This window comes from Homo sapiens, chromosome 17 (genome assembly GCF_000001405.40).
Source record: "Homo sapiens chromosome 17, GRCh38.p14 Primary Assembly".
NCBI classification, from domain to species: Eukaryota; Metazoa; Chordata; class Mammalia; order Primates; family Hominidae; genus Homo; species Homo sapiens.
Window position 1 is genome coordinate 49,996,054 of NC_000017.11, and position 18,105 is coordinate 50,014,158.

Consider the following 18,105-nt stretch of genomic DNA (forward strand, 5'->3'; position numbering starts at 1 on the left):
CTGTCCGGTGATACCAGAACTATCTCCAAAGCTATGTATGTGCAGTTTCACAGATGGCCCAGTCTTGCTGAAGGTAGCAAGGGACCTGGGGTCCCCACGAGGTTGGGTGGACACAGGCTGGCTCTGTGACTGTGTGCTTCAGTAAGTCTGAGGGCAGATTTTGTGTATCATGGGACAGCACTGGGGAATTGGGACACTTTTGGGGACTGGGTGCATGGGACGAGTGTATTTGGGGTGTGTGATGTGAGGATTTCATGTGTTCCACAGTATCCACAGAGGTACATGCATGCAGGAGTGTGTCGGGGGCGGGGTGCAGGCAGCATGAGTGGAGGGCCATCCGCGTGTGAACATGTGGTTGTAGGCAGATGTGTCTAGACCGCTTAGTACCTTCCTCATCTCCAGTAGCTGGGAGCTGTACTGCTCCACTGAATTCCTCCTGCACCAGAAAAGCCCTGAAGAATGGCTCCCCTCTGTGGGGACCCCCAGCTTTTAGTCCTGTCTAGCCCACCAAGCTGGGCCCCCTAGGTCATGCTAGCTGTTCCCAACGTCTAGCTCATCCCTGCCTCCCACACCCCATTTTGCCCTTCGCCTTTCTCTGGGGGAGAGAATCCAAATCTCAGTTCCCAGCCTGCCCGGCTCGCTCCGTCGACCCCACGTCCACTCGCCCTGCCTCGCCGGGCGAACGCAGTGCTAGCGCGCCACCTCGTGGTTCCTTCGAGCTCTGCAGCTCCCCGAGCCCGGCGCCCGGCCAAGCCTCGGGGAGGGGTTTCCTCCGAAGACCCTGCCTGGCAGAGCAGTGTACAGGGGGCTGTATGCCCCTTTCCAAAGTCAGACTCGCGCAGCAGGCTTCCGGCAGTCCAAAGGGCTTTGAGAGCTGCAGTTGGCAGAAACAGAGGGCACGGTCCGCGGACTGAGGGGCAGGGGTGAGTGCCCGCTTGGTCTGGGCCACTCCCGGAGGCCGCCGCGTGGGAAAGGTGGGGGCGGGGGCGGGCGAGGGGAGCGCTATCTGTCTGTCTATCTCCGCGTCCCCCCAGCGCCCAGCGCCCGCCGCTCCGAGCCCGTGGCGGGGCGAGTTGCCACCCGCTCCGGGTGCCCTCTGTTCTGCTGCCAAGAGGGCGCCAAGAGAGCCTGCGGCGTTGGGGGCAGGAAGGGCACTGGGCGGGCCGGCTCCCTCCCAGGATGGGAGCGGGGGAGGCGTTCAGGGCCTGCTTTGGAGCTCCCCCTGCCCCGCCCCGCAGACTGTGCCCTCTGTTTTCGCTAACTGCAGCTGCCTCAGAGAACAGACAGCGTGGGGCGAGCCCTTCTCAGGGGTTCATCCATTCATTCATTCATTCATCAACCGAGATCAAGAAGTGGCAGGCGACTCAGAGCTGGGAGTCTACCTCCCTCCCTCCTCAGGCCCTCACAGAAGCCTCACTCTTCTTTCCTCACTCCTACCCCAAGCCTTGGCTCCTGAGTAAAGAGAATGAGCCCTAGGCTGAATTCTGGAATCCTGGAATCTTGAAAGGGCAGTGGTGGTGGATTATACTAGGATAATTTCTAAGCTCCACTATGCTCTGGAATTCTAAGAGCTCTCGAAATGGTTCATAGTTCATAGAAACTGCAACAGTAGGAACTTAAATAAGCAATTAAACCATTGTTTGCTATTGTGAGGTTGACACATGTTCCCCTACCCCCATTGCATGACATGCTCCAAGATGCCAGAGTGGGTCCATCCACTTCACCACTGCCTTCCAGATACCCAGGACCCATTGTTGAATGAATAAATGAAGCTTCCTAATGCTGAAGAAGGGCTGAATCATCTTGGCACTGCTCCCGTGGACCCCTGGCTGAGGCTCAGACATGCTGGGCAGAGTCAGGACAGCGGGAAGCATGGGGCAGGCACTGGGCTGCAGGGTAGGGGAAGGCCCCAAGGGTCTCGTCAGGCCGGCAGGACCGGAGCCACCAACTGCTGGGCGGGCACCTGTTAGCTTAGGATGGCGAGGTAGCCGGAGGATGCAGTGGGACCACAGCCACCCACCCCACCTTGCCCGGGCCAACAAGACGAGCAGGTGTCAGCCTGGCCGAGTCCTGCCTCTGGTGGAGGGGTGACGTGGGGCGGCCTGTGTCAGGGGCCTCTGGGAGTCTGGTAGGAGGGAGAAAGGGCAGTGCCAGCCAATGCCAAGGTCACAGTCCATTGCCCACCCTGTCTCTAGCACTGAGAAAAGGTACCCTGTTGAAGCAAGCTATTCCCTGGAACCCAGGCATCATGCCACCTGGGCACTGGCACAGCAGTGGGGCTCAGAGAGAGGCCTCAGGGAGGACCGAGCACTGGTGGGCTGACCCTGCTTTCTCCATTGCCTTGGGGAGTGGCGCCATCTAGTGGTGATTGTAAGAAAGAGCCTGCTTAGCTCCACTGGGAAGACCCGGAAGTGGGTCACCTGCAGGGGCAGGGCCATCGTGCCCAGAAGGAATTTACTTACTTGAGGAGCCCTATTGGCACTAAATATTCACTTTTCATCATCACCTTGTGTTACTCTTTGGCTGCCACCTCTCCCTCCTCTCACCCCCTTTGAACAGCCAGTGGCTCTTTCCCTTGGTTTTCTCATTTGTAAATAAAAAACTGGATTCTTAGATGACCTCTGAGGTCCGTCCAAGCTCGGATGCTCCGTGATTGTAAATTCTAGGACTCTCGTCTCTCACGGGCGAACTCCTCGACCTTCTCACTAACTCCCTTGGAGATACACCCCAAGCTTCCAGCATTTTGCAGCCTGGACTTACTTCCAGAGTCCTTCGTTCATTCAACAGATCTTTGCTGAGTCTCTGCTATGTATCTGATCCCATGCTAGGTGCTGGGGATGTAGTGATGAACAAGACAGACCAGGCCCCTCTCGATGGAGCCCACGTTCCAGCAGGGGGTGCGGACACTTAACGACAGCTTCGCCATCATGTGATGTGTGCTGTGATGGGGCAGCACTTGCCGCCGTGCCAGCCTAAGGGGGCCTGAACCCTTCAGGGGGCAGGAGGATATCTGAAATAAGAAGTGAAGGATGTGTGGGACTTGGCTTGGAAAAACAGGGATGAGGGAAAGGAGAGGCTTCCCGGCCCTTGGAAAGTGCCACCTCCCCCTCCTCCACCCACCTTTGTCCAGCCAGGGGCGCTTTCCCTTGGGTTTTCTCATATGTAAATCAAAAAGTGGGTTCTTAGATGGCCTCTGTGGGCCATCCAAACTCTGATGCTCCGTGATTGTAGACTCTAGGACTCTTGTCTCTCAAGGGTGAAGCACAGTATTTGTGGGGGTGGTTGGGGGGTACTAAAGGTGAAGCAGGGACCCAGGACTCAGAGCAGTTGGAAGCCTGAAGCAGGAGAATGGGCTTTACTTAGAAGCTACAGGGAACCACTGAAAGATTTTAACCAGGGGAGGATCATGATTGGGTTTTCATTCTAGAAGGATCCCTCTGGCAGCTGTGTGGAGACGAATCAGAAGTGATAAGACTGAGGGCGAGGGGCCCAGATATGAGACTACTGCAGAAGCTCAAGCAAAGGGAATCAAGTCTGGGTTAAGGCAGAGGCAGTGTGGCCAATGCCAGAGAGAAGAGAAGTGGGTAGAAGTGGAGAGCAGTGGGTGGATTTGAGAGCCATTGAGGAGGTCAGAGGGACAGGGCTGGGGAATGGACTGGGTATGAATGGCAGGGAGAAGGGAAGGGGGGGAATGACCCCTGAGCTTCTGATTTGGGCAACTGGGTGGAAAGTTGGGGCCGTTCTCGAAATAAAGAGAACACCAGCAAGAGGAGACGCTTGATGAGGAAAAGAATGTGTCCGTTTTTTCCCCCCACTGGAATCTAACATACCTGCAGAAAAGTGCACAAGTCCTAATTAAAGGCTTTGCATCAATCAAACATAGCTGTGCAACCAGCACCCAGGCTGAGCAGCAGGTATTGAGGAAGCAATATCCAACCCTCAGAAGCCCCCTCACTCTCCCTTCCAGTTCCTACTCCCTGAGAGTAAACACTGTCTCTGCTCCTAGCACCGCAGATCAGGTTTGCATGTTTTTTACTTTTATATAAACGGAAGTGTATAGTATATACAGTCAGCCCTCTTCCATATCCATGGGCTGTGCATCCATGGATTCATCCAACCTTGGATCGAAATTATTCAGCAAAATAATTGCATCTGTGCTTGGACACATATAGACTTTTTTTCTTGTCATTATTCCCTAAATAATATAGCATAATAATTACTTAAATAACAATTACATTTTATTTGGTATTACAAGTAATCTAGAGATAATTTAAAATATATGGGAAGATGTGCATAGGTTATCTGCAAATACTACTCCATTTTATATCAGGGACTTGAGCATCCACAGATTTTGGTATCCGAGGAAGGTCTTAGAACCAATCTCCCACGAACAAGGGAGGGCTGTATTCTTTTATGTTTGGCTTCTTTTGCTCAACATTATGTTGTGAGATTTATCCATATTGTTGGCTATATTTATAGATTGTTCATTTTCATTGCTGTAATGTGGATATTTTCTCATATGAATATATCGTTATCTATTTTTCTCTTCTACTGTTGATGGGCATTTGGGTAGTTTCCAGTTTGGGACTATCATGAGCAGTGCTGCTATGAGCATTCTTGTACATGTCTTTTGGTGCCTGCATCTATGCTGTTGTTGGGTACCTATGGGTGGAATTGTGTGCCACCAGGTGGGCACATGTTTGGCTTTAGAAGAGGCTGCCAAGCAGTTCTCCAAAGTGGTTGTGCCATCAGCTTAAGTGTGATCATGCTGAGTTTGAGTGTCTTTGAGACATCTAGGAAGAGCAGTCCTAGCCATAGTTAGCAACATGGATCTGAAAAATCAGTAAAGAAGCTGGGATTGGAGATGTAAATTGTGAGTATCTGGCTTCTTGCGGTAAGTGGAGCCATTGGCATGGGTGAGATGGTCCAGGAAAGGAGGGAGAGAACACGGGGCAAAGGTCCAGGCAGCACCTGTGAGAGAGGGGTCAGAGGGAGGTGGGAAGCAGTGCAGAGAGAGTGTACCCTGAATTGGGTGTGGGGAGAGCTGGGGGGAGGGTTCAAGGAGGAGAGAGTAGTCGGCAAGGTCAAATCTTGCTGTGGATTTGTAGTCAGGGTGGGGTGAGGACTGAGATGCGCCTACTGGGCAATGTCTCAAGGAGGAGGTTGATGATATCAGGAAGAGCGGGTAAGGGGAGTGGGGAGCTGGAAGCGGTTCACAGCTGGCTGAGGGGCCAGTGGGATGCGAGGCAGTGAAGAGAACACGTGCCAGCCACTCTGTCCTGATGGCTGTGAAAGGAGGAGGGAGGCAGAGGGCGGTAGCTGGAGGGTATTTGGCATATTGGGAGGGTGTGTGTTTGAAATGGGAGCAGCATGTTTAGATGCCAATTATCACCTCCAGTAGAGAAGGGTTAATCACGAGTGCCATCCCTGAGTAGGTGGGAGGGGAAGGATCTGGAACTTCTCCAAAGGGGTTGGCCTTATAGCAGATTATTATCTATTCCGTTGAGTCAAGAGAGAAGATGAACTGATAAAAGCTGGCTTTCATTGAGTGCTCACTGTGTGCCAGGCACTGCTCGAAGCCATCTACATATATGAGTTCATTCACTGCTCCCAACCCTATGAGATGGGCACTCTCATGTCTGTCTTTTGACAGAGGAGGGAACTGAGGCACAGGAAGCTAAGTAAGTGGATTTAGGATTTGAGCCCAGGCAGTCTGTTAACCTCTATGGGGCAGGCATTCAGCTTGCAGGTTTAGCAGTCAGAAGGTAATTTGACGGAGCTAGGCACTGGCCATGTGGGTGTTTTTTATACTACCCTCTGTACTTTTCTATATGTTTGAAACATCTCAGAGTAAAAAGAATTGTACTTGGGAGGCCAAGAACATGGCAGAACTGCATCTCTACAAAACAAAACAAAACAAAACAAAAAACAAAAATTAGCTGGCTGTGGTGGCTCACACCTGTGATCCCAGCACTTTGGGAGGCTGAGGTAGGAGGACTGCTTGAGCCCAGGAGTTAGAGACCAGCCTGAGCAACACAGTAAGATCCCATCTCTACAAAAAAGGAAATGAAAAAAATTAGACAGGGGCAGTCCCCAGCTACTCAGGAGGCTGAGGTGGAAGGATGGCTAGAGCCCAGGAGTTTGAGGCTACAGTGAGCCATGATCACACCACTGCATGCCTGCCTTGGTGACAGAGTGAGATCCTGTCTCAAAAGAAAAAAAAATGTGTGTATGCGCACGCACGCACACACACAGAGGGAGAGAGAGAGAGAGAGATTGAGAGGGAAGAAATGTATTGCCTTTGTTCACAGATAACATGATATCTATGTAGAAAATTCTGGCAAGGTGCAGTGGCTCATGCCTGTAATCTCAGCACTTTGGGAGGCAGAGGCAAGAGAATTGCTTGAGCCCAGAAGTTCGAGACCAGCCTGGTCAACATAGTGAAACCCTATCTCTACGAAAAGTAAAAAAAATTAGCTAGGTGTGATGGCATACACCTGTAGTTTTAGCTACTCAGGAGGGTAAGGTAGGAGGATTAACAAAATATGTACAAGATCTATATGAGTACATAAAACTCTGATGAGACAAATAAAAATCTAAATAAATGGAGAGAGACTCATGGATTCATGGAGAGGAAGATTGTTAAAATGTCAGTTCCTTCCAAGTTGATCTATCCATTCAATGCAGTCCCAATCAAAATCTCAGAAAGTTCTTTTGTGGATATTTACAAATGGATTCTAAAATGTATAGGTAAAGGCAAAAGACTCGAAGTAGCCAACACAATACTGAAGAAGAAGAAAAACAGTCTGAGGACTGACACTGACCGACATAATGTTGGGCCAGGCGCGATGGCTCATGCTTGTAATCCTAGCACTTTGGGAGGCCAAAATGGGAGGATCACTCGAGCTCAGGAGTTCAAGACCAGTCTGGGCAACATGGTGAAACCCCATCTCTAACAAAATAAAATAAAATAAAATAAAATAAAATAAAATAAAATAAAATAAAATAAAATAAAATAAAATAAAAAGACAATGTGGTATTGGTGAAAGAATAGTGAAATAGATCGATGGAATAGAATCAAGAGCCCAGAAGTAGACCTACACAAATACAGTGAATTGATCTTTGACAAAGGAAAAAAGCCTTTTTTTTTTTTTTTTTTTTCCTGAGATGGAGTCTCACTCTGTTGCCCAGGCTGGAGTGCAGTAGTGGGATCTTGGCTCACTGCAACCTCCATCTCCCGAGCTCAAGCGATTCTCCTGCCTCAGCCTCCCAAGTAGCTGGGATTGCAGTTGTGCACCACCATGCCTGGCTAATTTTTGTATTTTTAGTAGAGATGGGGTTTCACTATATTGGCCAGGCTGGTCTCAAACTCCTATCCTCAAGCGATGCACCTGCCTTAGCCTCCCAAAGTGCTGGAATTACCAGCCTGAGCCACCATGTCCAGCCTTAATTAATAATAATTATGTATCAATATTGAGTCATCAGTTGTAACAAATGTATCACACTAATGTAGGATGTTAATAATAAGAGATACTGTGTCCGGTGAGGCAAGAGGGTAGATGGAAACTCTGTACTATCTGTTCAATTTTTCTGTGAACCTTAAAGTGTTCTAAAAAATAGTCTCTTGGCTGGGCGCAGTGGCTCACACCTGTAATCCCAGCACTTTGGGAGGCCGAGGCAGGCGGATCACGAGGTCAGGAGATCAAGACCATCCTGGCTAACACGGTGAAACCCTGTCTCTACTAAAAAAATACAAAAAATTAGCCAGGTGTGGTGGCAGGCGTCTGTAGTCCCAGCTACTCAGGAGGCTGAGGCAGGAGAATGGCGTGAACCCGGGAGGCGGAGCTTGCAGGGAGCTGAGATCGCACCACTACACTCCAGCCTGGGCGACAGAGCCAGACTCTGTCTCAAAATAAATAAATTAATAAATAATAAAAAATAGTCTCTTAACTTGAAAAAAAAATGAGGCAAAGAGATTTTAGAAAGATGGAAGCTACCCATTCAGTGGTGGTGTCTTGATGGGACTTTCCATGAGCCATGACATCATGCACCCCAGGCTGTCCTGCCTCCTGCTTATTCCCAAGCCTGTTTCACCAGCCACACACTGAATGCATGCACCATGGAAATCCTTTCAGGAAATTTCTTTTAGCTGTTTGTTTATGGAACAGGGTGTCACTGTGTCACCGAGGCTGGAGTACAGTAGTGTAGTCATAGCTCACTGCAGCCTCGAACCTTCCAGGCTCAAGCAATCCTCCCACCTCAGCCTCCTGGGTAGCTGGGACTACAGGCACGCACCACCATACCTGGCTAATTTGTGTGTGTGTGTGTGTGTGTGTGTGTGTGTGTGTGTGTAGAGACAGGGTCCTGCTCTGTTGCCCAGGCTGGTCTTGTACTCCTGTCCTCAAACAATCTTTCTGCCTCAGCCTCCCAAAGTGCCAGTATTATAGAGGTGTACCACTGTGTCCAGCCCCTTTTGGCTTTTTAAAAGGCACTTGGTAAAGTTAAATATCTATACATTGAGACTTAATTAACTAAATTTTGAGACTAGCAAAGTAGGAATGGAGGGAATTTGATGAAATGGTAGAAGCACTTACCAAACACCCACAAAAACCCTACGCTTAATGGGGAAATTGAATGTCTATGAGGCCAGGCCCTGGGGTTGTATAAAGAACACAAGAAGAGGCCGGGTGTGGTGGCTAACGCCTGTAATCCCAGCACTTTGGGAGGCCGAGGCGGGCAGATCACAAGGTCAGGAGTTCGAAACCAGCCTGACCAACATAATGAAACACCGTCTCTACTAAAAAAATACAAAAAAATTAGCAGTGCACGCCTGTAATCCCAGCTACTCAGGAGGCTGAGGCAGGAGAATTGCTTGAACCTGGGAGGCAGAGGTTGCAATGAGCCGAGATCGTGCCATTGCACTCCAGCCTGGGCAGTAAGAGTGAAACTCCATCTCAAAAAAAAAAAAAAAAAAAAGAACACAAGAAATAGAAAACCTGGATAACTCTATGTCTATCACATTAAATTTGTAATTTAAAACTTTCCCATAAAGGAAAATCTAGGTGTAAATGGCTCCATTGGTGACTTCTGTCAAACATTCAAAGAAGAAATGGTTCCAAATTTATCTTCTGTTTTGGAAAATAGAAGAGGCTGGCAACTTTTCAGCTAATTTAATGCAAGCATGACCTTGATACCAAAACCAGACAAATACATTACAAGAAATGAAAGCTCCAAACCAATGTCTTCATGAACACAGATGCAGAGTCCTTAGCAACAGCCAGGTATGGTGGCGTGCCTATTGTCCCAGCTACTCAGGAGGCTGAGGTGGGAAGGTCCCTTGAGCCTAAGAGTTCATATCCAGCTTAGGCAACATAGCAAGACCCTGTCTCTAAAAATTAAAAAAAAAATAAAAATAATGAAAATAAAATAAATAAATAAATTCTTAACAAAACATTAGCAAATTGAATCCAGAAATATACAAAAAGTAATGCAGCAATATAGAAAAGAGATGGCACACCATTACCATTACATTCCCAGGAATGTAAGATTGATTTTGGCTGGGCATGGTGGCTCATGCCTATAATCCCAGCACTTTGGGAGGCCAAGGCAGGCGGATCCCCTGAGGCCAGAAGTTCAAGACCAGCCTGACCAACATGGCAAAACCCCATCTCTACTAAAATACAAAAAAATTAGCCAGGCGTGGTGGTGGGCACCTATAATCCCAGCTACTCGGGAGGCTGAGGCAGGAGGATTTCTTGAACCCAGGAGGTGGAGGCTGCAGTGAGCCAAGATGGTGCCATTGCACTGGGCAACAAGAGCAGAAGTCCGTCTCAAAAAAAAAAAAAAGATTGATTTAACATTTGAACATCAATCAATATAATTCATCATATTAACAGAATAAAGGAGAAAGTTATATGATAATCTCAATAGATGCAGAAAAAGGGTGTGATGAAACTCAACACCCATTCATGATAAAAACTCTAACAACTGGGAATAAAAGGAAACTTTCTCAATCTGATAAGGGATATGTTTTTAAAAAGTATAGCTAACAGTGTTACATAATCTGCTATAATATATAAAATATTATATAATATATAATAATGTTATATAATAATATAAAACTATAGCTAGCATAATAATGGTAATTGAAAACTTTACCCTTAACATCAGGTCTGAAGCAAGAATGTTCACTCTGACCATTTCTATTATGCTGTGGTTCTAGTCAGTACAATAAGGCAAGAAAAAGAAGTAAAAGGCTTACAGATTGCAAAGGAAGAAGGAAAATTGTCTTTATTTACAAACAACATGATTGGATGTGTAATCTATAAAAAATCTACTGAACTAATAAGTGAGTTTATCAAGGTCACAGGACACTTGGTCAGATATTATATATTTCAATAGACTAGCAAAAAAAAAAAAAAAGGAAATTGAAGATAAAAGAAAATACTACTTAGAATAAAAACAGGGCCGGGTGCGGTGGCTCATGTCTGTAATCCCAGCATTTTGGGAGGCCGAGGCGAGTGGATCACGAGGTCAAGAGATCAAGACCATCCTGGCCAACAAGGTGAAACCCCGTCTCTACTGAATATACAAAAAATTAGCCGGGTGTGGTAGCGGGCGCCTGTAGTCCCAGGTACTCTGGAGGCTGAGGCAGGAGAATGGCATGAACCCGGGAGGCGGAGGTTGCAGTGAACCGAGATCATGCCACTGCACTCCAGCCTGGGCGACAGAGCGAGACTCCATCTCAAACAAACAAACAAAAAACAGAATACACAAGGGGATAAGCTTAAAACATGTATAAACCTTGTCCTCTGAACACTACAAAAAAAATTCTGAGAGATTAACACCTGAATAAGTGTAGAAAGTAGGACAAATGACTCAATATTGTTCAGATGTCAATTGCCCCAAAACTGATCTATAGAGGGACTTTGTAAAAATTATTTTGGTTTTGCAGTCAACTTTAAAAAATGATTCTAAAATCTATTTGAAAAAGTAAATATTAATAAATATCGAAGACAATCTTAACAAGGAGTAAAGAGGGAGGACTTAGCAGATATTAAGACATACCATAAGGCATGGTAATAATGATTGGTTTAAGAACGAATAGAGTAATAGCATATAATCAAGGGTTCAGCCACAGACCCAGGGTGTACTGCAAATCAATGGGAGAGAGGATAGATTGTTTAATAGATACTCAGAGAAAACAAAATTCAGGCTGGGAGTGGTGGCTCATGCCTATAATCCCAGCCTTTTGGGAGGCTGAGGTGGGCAGATCACTTGAGGCCAGGAGTCCAAGATCAGCCTGGCCAACATGGTGAAACCCCATCTCTACTAAAAATACAAAAATTAGCCATGCGTGGTGGCTCACATCTGCCACCCAGTTACTTGGGTGGCTGAGGGAAGAGAATTGCTTGAAGCTGGAAGGCAGAGGTTGCAGTGAGCCGAGATCACACCACTGCACGCCAGCCTGGGCAACAGAGCGAGACTCTGTCTCAAAAACGAAAACAAAAAAGAAGAAGAAAGAAAGAAAACAAAGTTTAGATCCTTACCTAATACGATATACAAAGGTGGACTCCAGATGAATGAAAGTTCTAAATCTGAAAGGTAAAAAGGCCAGGCATGGTGATTCATGCCTGTAATCCCAGCCCTTTGGGAGGCTGAGGTGGGCAGATCACTTGAGGTCAGGAGTTTAAGACTAGCCTGGCCAACATGGTGAAACCCCATTTCTACTAAAAATACAAAAATAAGCTGGGTGTGGTGGTACGTGCCTATAATCCCAGCTACTTGGGAAGCTGAGGTGGGAGAATCACTTGAACCCAGGAGGCAGAGTTTGCAGTGAGCTGAGATCGCACCATTGCACTCCAGCCTGGGCAACAAGAGCTAAAATCCATCTCAGAAAAAAAAAAAAAGGGTGAAAGTATAAAATAGAAGAAAATGCAGTGTCCTGTCTTTGTAATCTAGGGTAGGGAGTGTCTTCAATCTCTAAAGATAAAAAATTGAAAAATTTTATGTTAACATTAAGAGTTTCAATTCAAATAAGGACACCATAGACAAAATGAATAGATGTATACAGAATGAGAAAAGAGGTTCACAATATCTAAAATAAACAGAAGAATATGTAGAAAAATTCAGACTATGTATAAACTCTTGCAATTTAATAAGGAAAAAGATAGCAACCTAATTAAAGGACAAAAGATTCAAACATGCAATTTTCAGGATGTTACCTATATACCCCTGTGTATATAGGAAAAGATGCTCAGATTCACTAGTAATCAGAGAAATGTACATTAAAACACCCATGAGGTAGCCCTTTACAACTGTAAGATTGGTAAAAATTCAAAAACTTATTAGTGTCATGTTGGCTGAAATGTGCATCTGTTTCTGAACTCTCTGATACATACATACCTCATGATCCAGCAGTCTTGCTCCTGGTAGAACCCTCACACAGATCACCAAGGAACATGTATGAAAATGTTCATTGTATGTTACTCATGGTAGCAGGGAGAACGTCCATTCTTGGAGTATGGAGAGGTAAAATGTGGTAGACATACTCCATGGAGTACTTCACCACAGTAACAAAATACAAAACATAGAAACATGGATAGATTTTAGAAATATAGTTCTGAAGGAGAAATGTAAGAATGATATTGCATTCGAATGAATAAATGAAAAATGTATTATGTTTACATAAAATACATGTACATATTTTGCAAGAACACATAAAAACCAAGAAAATACACACTAATTAAATTATTCAGCAAGTATTCATTGAGTGTTTGTCATATGCCAGCCAATGTTCTAAGCTCTTGGCATTCAGCAATGAACAAAAAAAGATCCCTGACCTCATGGAGCTTGTAGGTAGTACAGACAAAAAACAATATTCGTGATAAAGAAGTCAATTATATATTGCATTAGAAAGTAATAAGAACTCTGGAACAAAAGAAAAAAGTAGGACAGAATGAGGAGGATTGGGTATTGGAAGGGCAGTTATGAGAGTCTTCATTGAGAAGATGGACTGTGAGCAAAGACCTGAAAGAAGTGAAAGAGTGAGCCATGAAGATGTGTGAGGGACAGTGTTCCAGACAGAGGGGAGAACTGGTGCAAAGGGTCTGAGGTGGGAGCATACCTGGTGAGTTTGAAGAACAGCAAGGAGGCCAGCATAGAAAGAGAGAGAGCAGAAAGAATGAGGGAGTGTGCCAGGAGAGGGGGGTCAGAAAGGCAATGTGGCAGGGGTTGGGGGATCATAAAGGGCCTCAAAGCATATTGTAAGACTTTGAGTTTTTCTTAAAGTGAGATGAGTAATTATTGCAGAATTTTGAGCAGAGAAGTGGACATGGTCTGACTTGTATTTTATTTGAATGTGTCACATTGTGGATCTCTGAGTTTATCCTATGTACAGTTCATTGAACTTCTTGGATGTGTAGATTCATATCTTTCATCAAATTTGGAAAGGTTTTGGCCATTATTTCTTCAAATATTCATTCTTCCCATGCCTCTTCTCTATCTGGGACTACCAAAACGTATATGTTGACATGCGTGATTGTGTTCCACAGGTCTCTTAGGCTCCCTCTGTTTTTTTTTTTTTTTTCCCCAAGATGGAGTCTCACTCTGTCACCAGGCTGGAGTGCAGTGGCACAATCTTGGCTCACTGCAACCTCCGCCTCCTGGGTTCAAGCGATTCTCCTGCCTCAGCCTCCCAAATAGCTGGGACTACAGGCACATGCCACCACGCCCAGCTAATTTTTGTATTTTCAGTAGAGACAGGGTTTCACTATGTTGGCCAGGATGGTCTTAATCTCTTGACCTTGTGATCCACCTGCCTCAGCCTCCCAAAGTGCTGGGATTATAGGTGTGAGCCACTGTGCCTGTCTGGCTCCCTCTTTTTTGAGTTCTGGTTTCTTTCTGTCCTTCAGGCTGAATAATTCCAATGGACTATTTTCAGGTTTGCTAATTCTTTTCCTTTGTTTCTTTGTTTCTTTCTTTTTTTTTTTTTTTTGAGATGGTGTCTCGCTCTGTTGCCCAGGCTGGAGTGCAGTGGCATGATCTCAGCTCACTGCAACCTCCGCCTCCTGGGTTCAAGTGATTCTCCTGCCTCAGCCTCCTGAGTAGCTGGGATTGCAGGTGCATGCCACCACGCCTGGCTAATTTTTGTATTTTCTGTAGAGATGGGGGTCTCACCATATTGGTCAGGCTGGTCTCAAACTGCTGACCTCATGATCCACCTGCCTCGGCTGGGATTACAGGCATGAGCCACCGCACCTGGCAGTTTTGCTAATTCTTTATTCTGCCTGTTTAAATCTGCTGAGGAACACCTCTTGTAAGTTTTTCATTTCAGCGATTGTACTTTTCAGCTCTAGAACTTCTATTTGGTTTCTTTTTTTAAATATAAATTCTGTCTCTTTATTGATATTCTCTGTTTGTTTAGACATTATTCTCTTGGTTTCCTTTAGCTCTTTGAGTATATTTAAAACAGTTAACTTAAAGTTTTTGTCTAATAAGTCCAATGTCTGCACTTCTATGGGATGGTTTCTATTGATTTCTTTTTCTCTTTTCTATAAATTGCCTTTCTTGTTTTTTCGTATGCCTTGTAATTATTTTCTTGAAAACTAGACATACTGAATATTATAAGATTGTAACTCTGAAATCAGATTCTGCACCCCATTTGCTGTTGTTGCTTACTGCAGGCTGCAGTCATCAATTTGTTTATTGGCTTTTCCAAACTAGCTTTGTAAATACTGCATTTCTTGTCATGTGTGGTCACTGAAGTGTTTTCTATTATCTCAGTCATCAGTTAATGGCCTGACCTTAAATGCCACTTTATTTAGCAGTCTCTTTCTTCATTCCACACTCCTTTGGTTACTATAGTTTTTTTTTTTTATTAGATTCTAGAGATCCAAAAACTTGATTCTGTCAGTTGCTTCAGTAAATAGACCAATTCTTGGAGCTTCCTACTCTGCTATTTTCCATAATGTCATCCCTGATATGTTTTTAAAGTTCACTCTGTTCAAGATATATTGTTTTAGTTTGTTTGTTTGTTTTGCTTTGCTTTGTTTTGTTGAGACAGGGTCTCGCTCTGTCACCCAGGCTGGAGTGCAGTGGCACAATCACAGCTCACTATAGCCTTGACTCCCCAGGCTCAAGAGATCCTCCCACCTCAGCCTCTCAAGTAAGTGGACTACAAGCATGAGCCACCATGCCCAGCTATTAAAAAAATATTTTTTTGGCCGGGTGCATGCCTGTAATCCCAGCAATTTGGGAGGCCAACGTGGCCAGATCACGAGGTCAGGAAATCAAGACCATCCTGGCCAACATGGAGAAACCCCATCTCTACTAAAAATACAAAAATTAGCTGGGCATGGTGGTGTGTGTCTGTAGTCTCAGCTACTTACTTGGGAGGCTGAGGCAGGAGAATAGCTTGAACCCAGGAGGTGGAGGTTGCAGTGAGCCGAGATTGTGCCACTGCACTCCAGCCTGGCGACAGAGCGAGACTCCATCTCATAAATAAATAATAATAATAATAATTATTATTATTATTGTTATTTTTGTAGGGACAGAGTTTCCCTATGTTTCCCAGGCTGGTCTCAAACTCCTGGGCTCAAGCAATTTTCCGTGCCTTGTCCTCCCAAAGTGCTGGGATTACAGATGTGAGCCACCACACCTGGCTCATGATATATTGTTAAGTGAAAAAAATCAAGGTGTAGAAACGTGTGTATGGCATGCTACTATTTATCTAAAGGTGAGGGGGGTGGATATTGGCTTATGAATAGTGAATGTAAAACCACAAAACTTAAAAAGAGCGATTATACACCTATCCCTGATGAGTATAGATGTGAAAAAAATCTTAACAAATTATTAGCAAATAGAATTCAGTATTATACCATGACCAGGTGGGATTTATTCCAGGAATGTAAAGATGGTTCAATATTTGGAAATTAATCAGTGTAGTCCACTGTATTAGCAGGTTAACGAAGAAAAAAAATCACATGGTCATATAAATTGAAGCAGAAAAAGTATTTGACAAACACTTAACACCCATTCATTTTGAAAATTCCCACAAAACCAGGAGTAGAGGGGAATTTCCTCAACTTGATAAGTGTATCTACAGAATACTTATAGGTAACATCATACTTAATGGTAAAAGACTGAATACCTCATCCCTAAGATCAGAAACAAGGCAAAGATGTGCACTTCACCACTGCTATTTCTATTTGCAGATGACACGGTTTTCTACAAAGAAAATCCCACGGAATATACAAAAAAATACCTTCTATGACTAATACGTGAATTTAGCAAGGTCAAAGGATATAAGATCAACATATAAAAATTAATCGTACTTCTATATATGGGCAATGAACATAGAAAAACTCAAGTTAGAAACACAATACTATTTACATTGCTTTAAAAAAGAGAGAAATATTTAGGTGTTAAGCTAACAAAAGATACAGGACTGCAGATGTCAACTGGGATATTTCATTTACAATAATGGATTGTCATTATTGCAATTTTCTGAGGGATGCGACTTAAGTGTACAACTTAAGTGGGTTGTAATCGGGGGCTTTAGCAGTCTGCCTTTGGATTGAGATTTTGCCTATGGATTGAGATAATGCTAATTTAACTTTTAACACTGTGAATGTTGTGACCATGTTTTCTAGAGTTCAGATAATGAAAACAAGAATTATTATAATACCAATGCCAATGATTACCGCACAATATAATACCAATAACATCACTGGGGAAAAATGCTAAATGACTGTATTATCTTCACGAAAGATGGAAGGACACATACATTGAATTGGGGACGTAAAGAACCAAAACAGAATTCCACAATATGCAGAGAAGAATCTGGGCTTGGGCACAGTGAAGTTGGGCATATGAAAGCACACATGAAAACTAAATCTCACAAGTCCAGGATAAGACGGGCAAGTACTTCTACATCAATAAAAAGATTTTTTATTTTCCAAAAAGACACCAATCCTTGGTCAGAAATGGCATCTGCTGAATTGGCTTATTCAGGACAGTTCTCCAGGTGGCCTTGGACAGAATTGATTTTCCCTTCTTTCTTACTTGTAGTACTCAAGAATAACTGTGTAGAATGTACTGGGAGAGTAATATCCTGAGATAAGGAAGAATTGGCTGGGACAGTTCAGGTTCTGTTCCAGTTCCCCCTCAAAACAAGGTGACCTTCAATGCTTTGGCTCAGCAAGTACCATATCTCCAGAGTATAAAACCCAGGGTGGGCTGGTTTCCAGGTCCCTCTACTATGGTGCAAGTGAGGCATGCAGAGATGAGATTCTAGCCACCATATGGAGATTTCCTGAGTTTTGGAAGACTGTGTTAGGCAGCTTTCTGTTTTTTTGAGATGGAGTCTCGCTCAGTCACCCAGGCTAGAGTGCAGTGGCACAATCTCGGCTCACTGCAAGCTCCACCTCCTGGGTTCATGCTATTCTCCTGCCTCAGCCTCCCAAGTAACTGGGACTACAGGTGCCCGCCACCATGCCTGGCTAATTTTTTTTTTTTTTTGTATTTTTAGTAGAGATGGGGTTTCACCATGTTAGCCAGGATGGTCTCAATCTCCTGACCTCGTGATCTGCCCATCTTGGCCTCCCAAAGTGCTGAGATTATAGGGGTGAGCCACTGCACCCAGCCATTAGGCAGCTTTTGTGCTACTATAAAGTAATACCTGAGATTGGGTAATTTATAAAGAAAAGAGGTTTAATTGGTTCATTGTTCTGCAGGCTGTGCAGGAAGCATGGTGCCAGCATTTGCTTCTGGTGAGGGACTCAGGAAGCTTGCAATCATGGTGGAAGGCAAAGGGGGAGCAGATGAATTACATGGTGAGAGTGGGAGCAAGTCTGTGGGTGGGTGGGGGGTGCCAGGCCCTTTAAACAACTAGATCTTGCATAAACTAACTTGAGTGAGAACTCACTCATTACCGTGGGGATGACACAATTCATGAGGGATCCACCCCCATGAGTGTATGAAAATACAATCATCTCTTCCCAACAGTCCCCCAAAGTCTTAACTTGTTCCAACATCAAGTCCAAAATCCAAAGTCCAAAGTCTCATCTGAGACTCATGCCCAAGTTCCTTTCACCTATGAGCCTG

The 18,105-nt window shown here is 44.8% G+C and overlaps 1 annotated feature.

Annotated features, from left to right (window-relative positions):
- Positions 11,730-11,809: an enhancer, noted in NCBI's record as "active region_12376". NCBI's record gives its function as "activates an Ori minimal core promoter by ATAC-STARR-seq in GM12878 lymphoblastoid cells {active_cell/tissue: GM12878}" and the evidence as "EXISTENCE:reporter gene assay evidence [ECO:0000049][PMID:35858748]".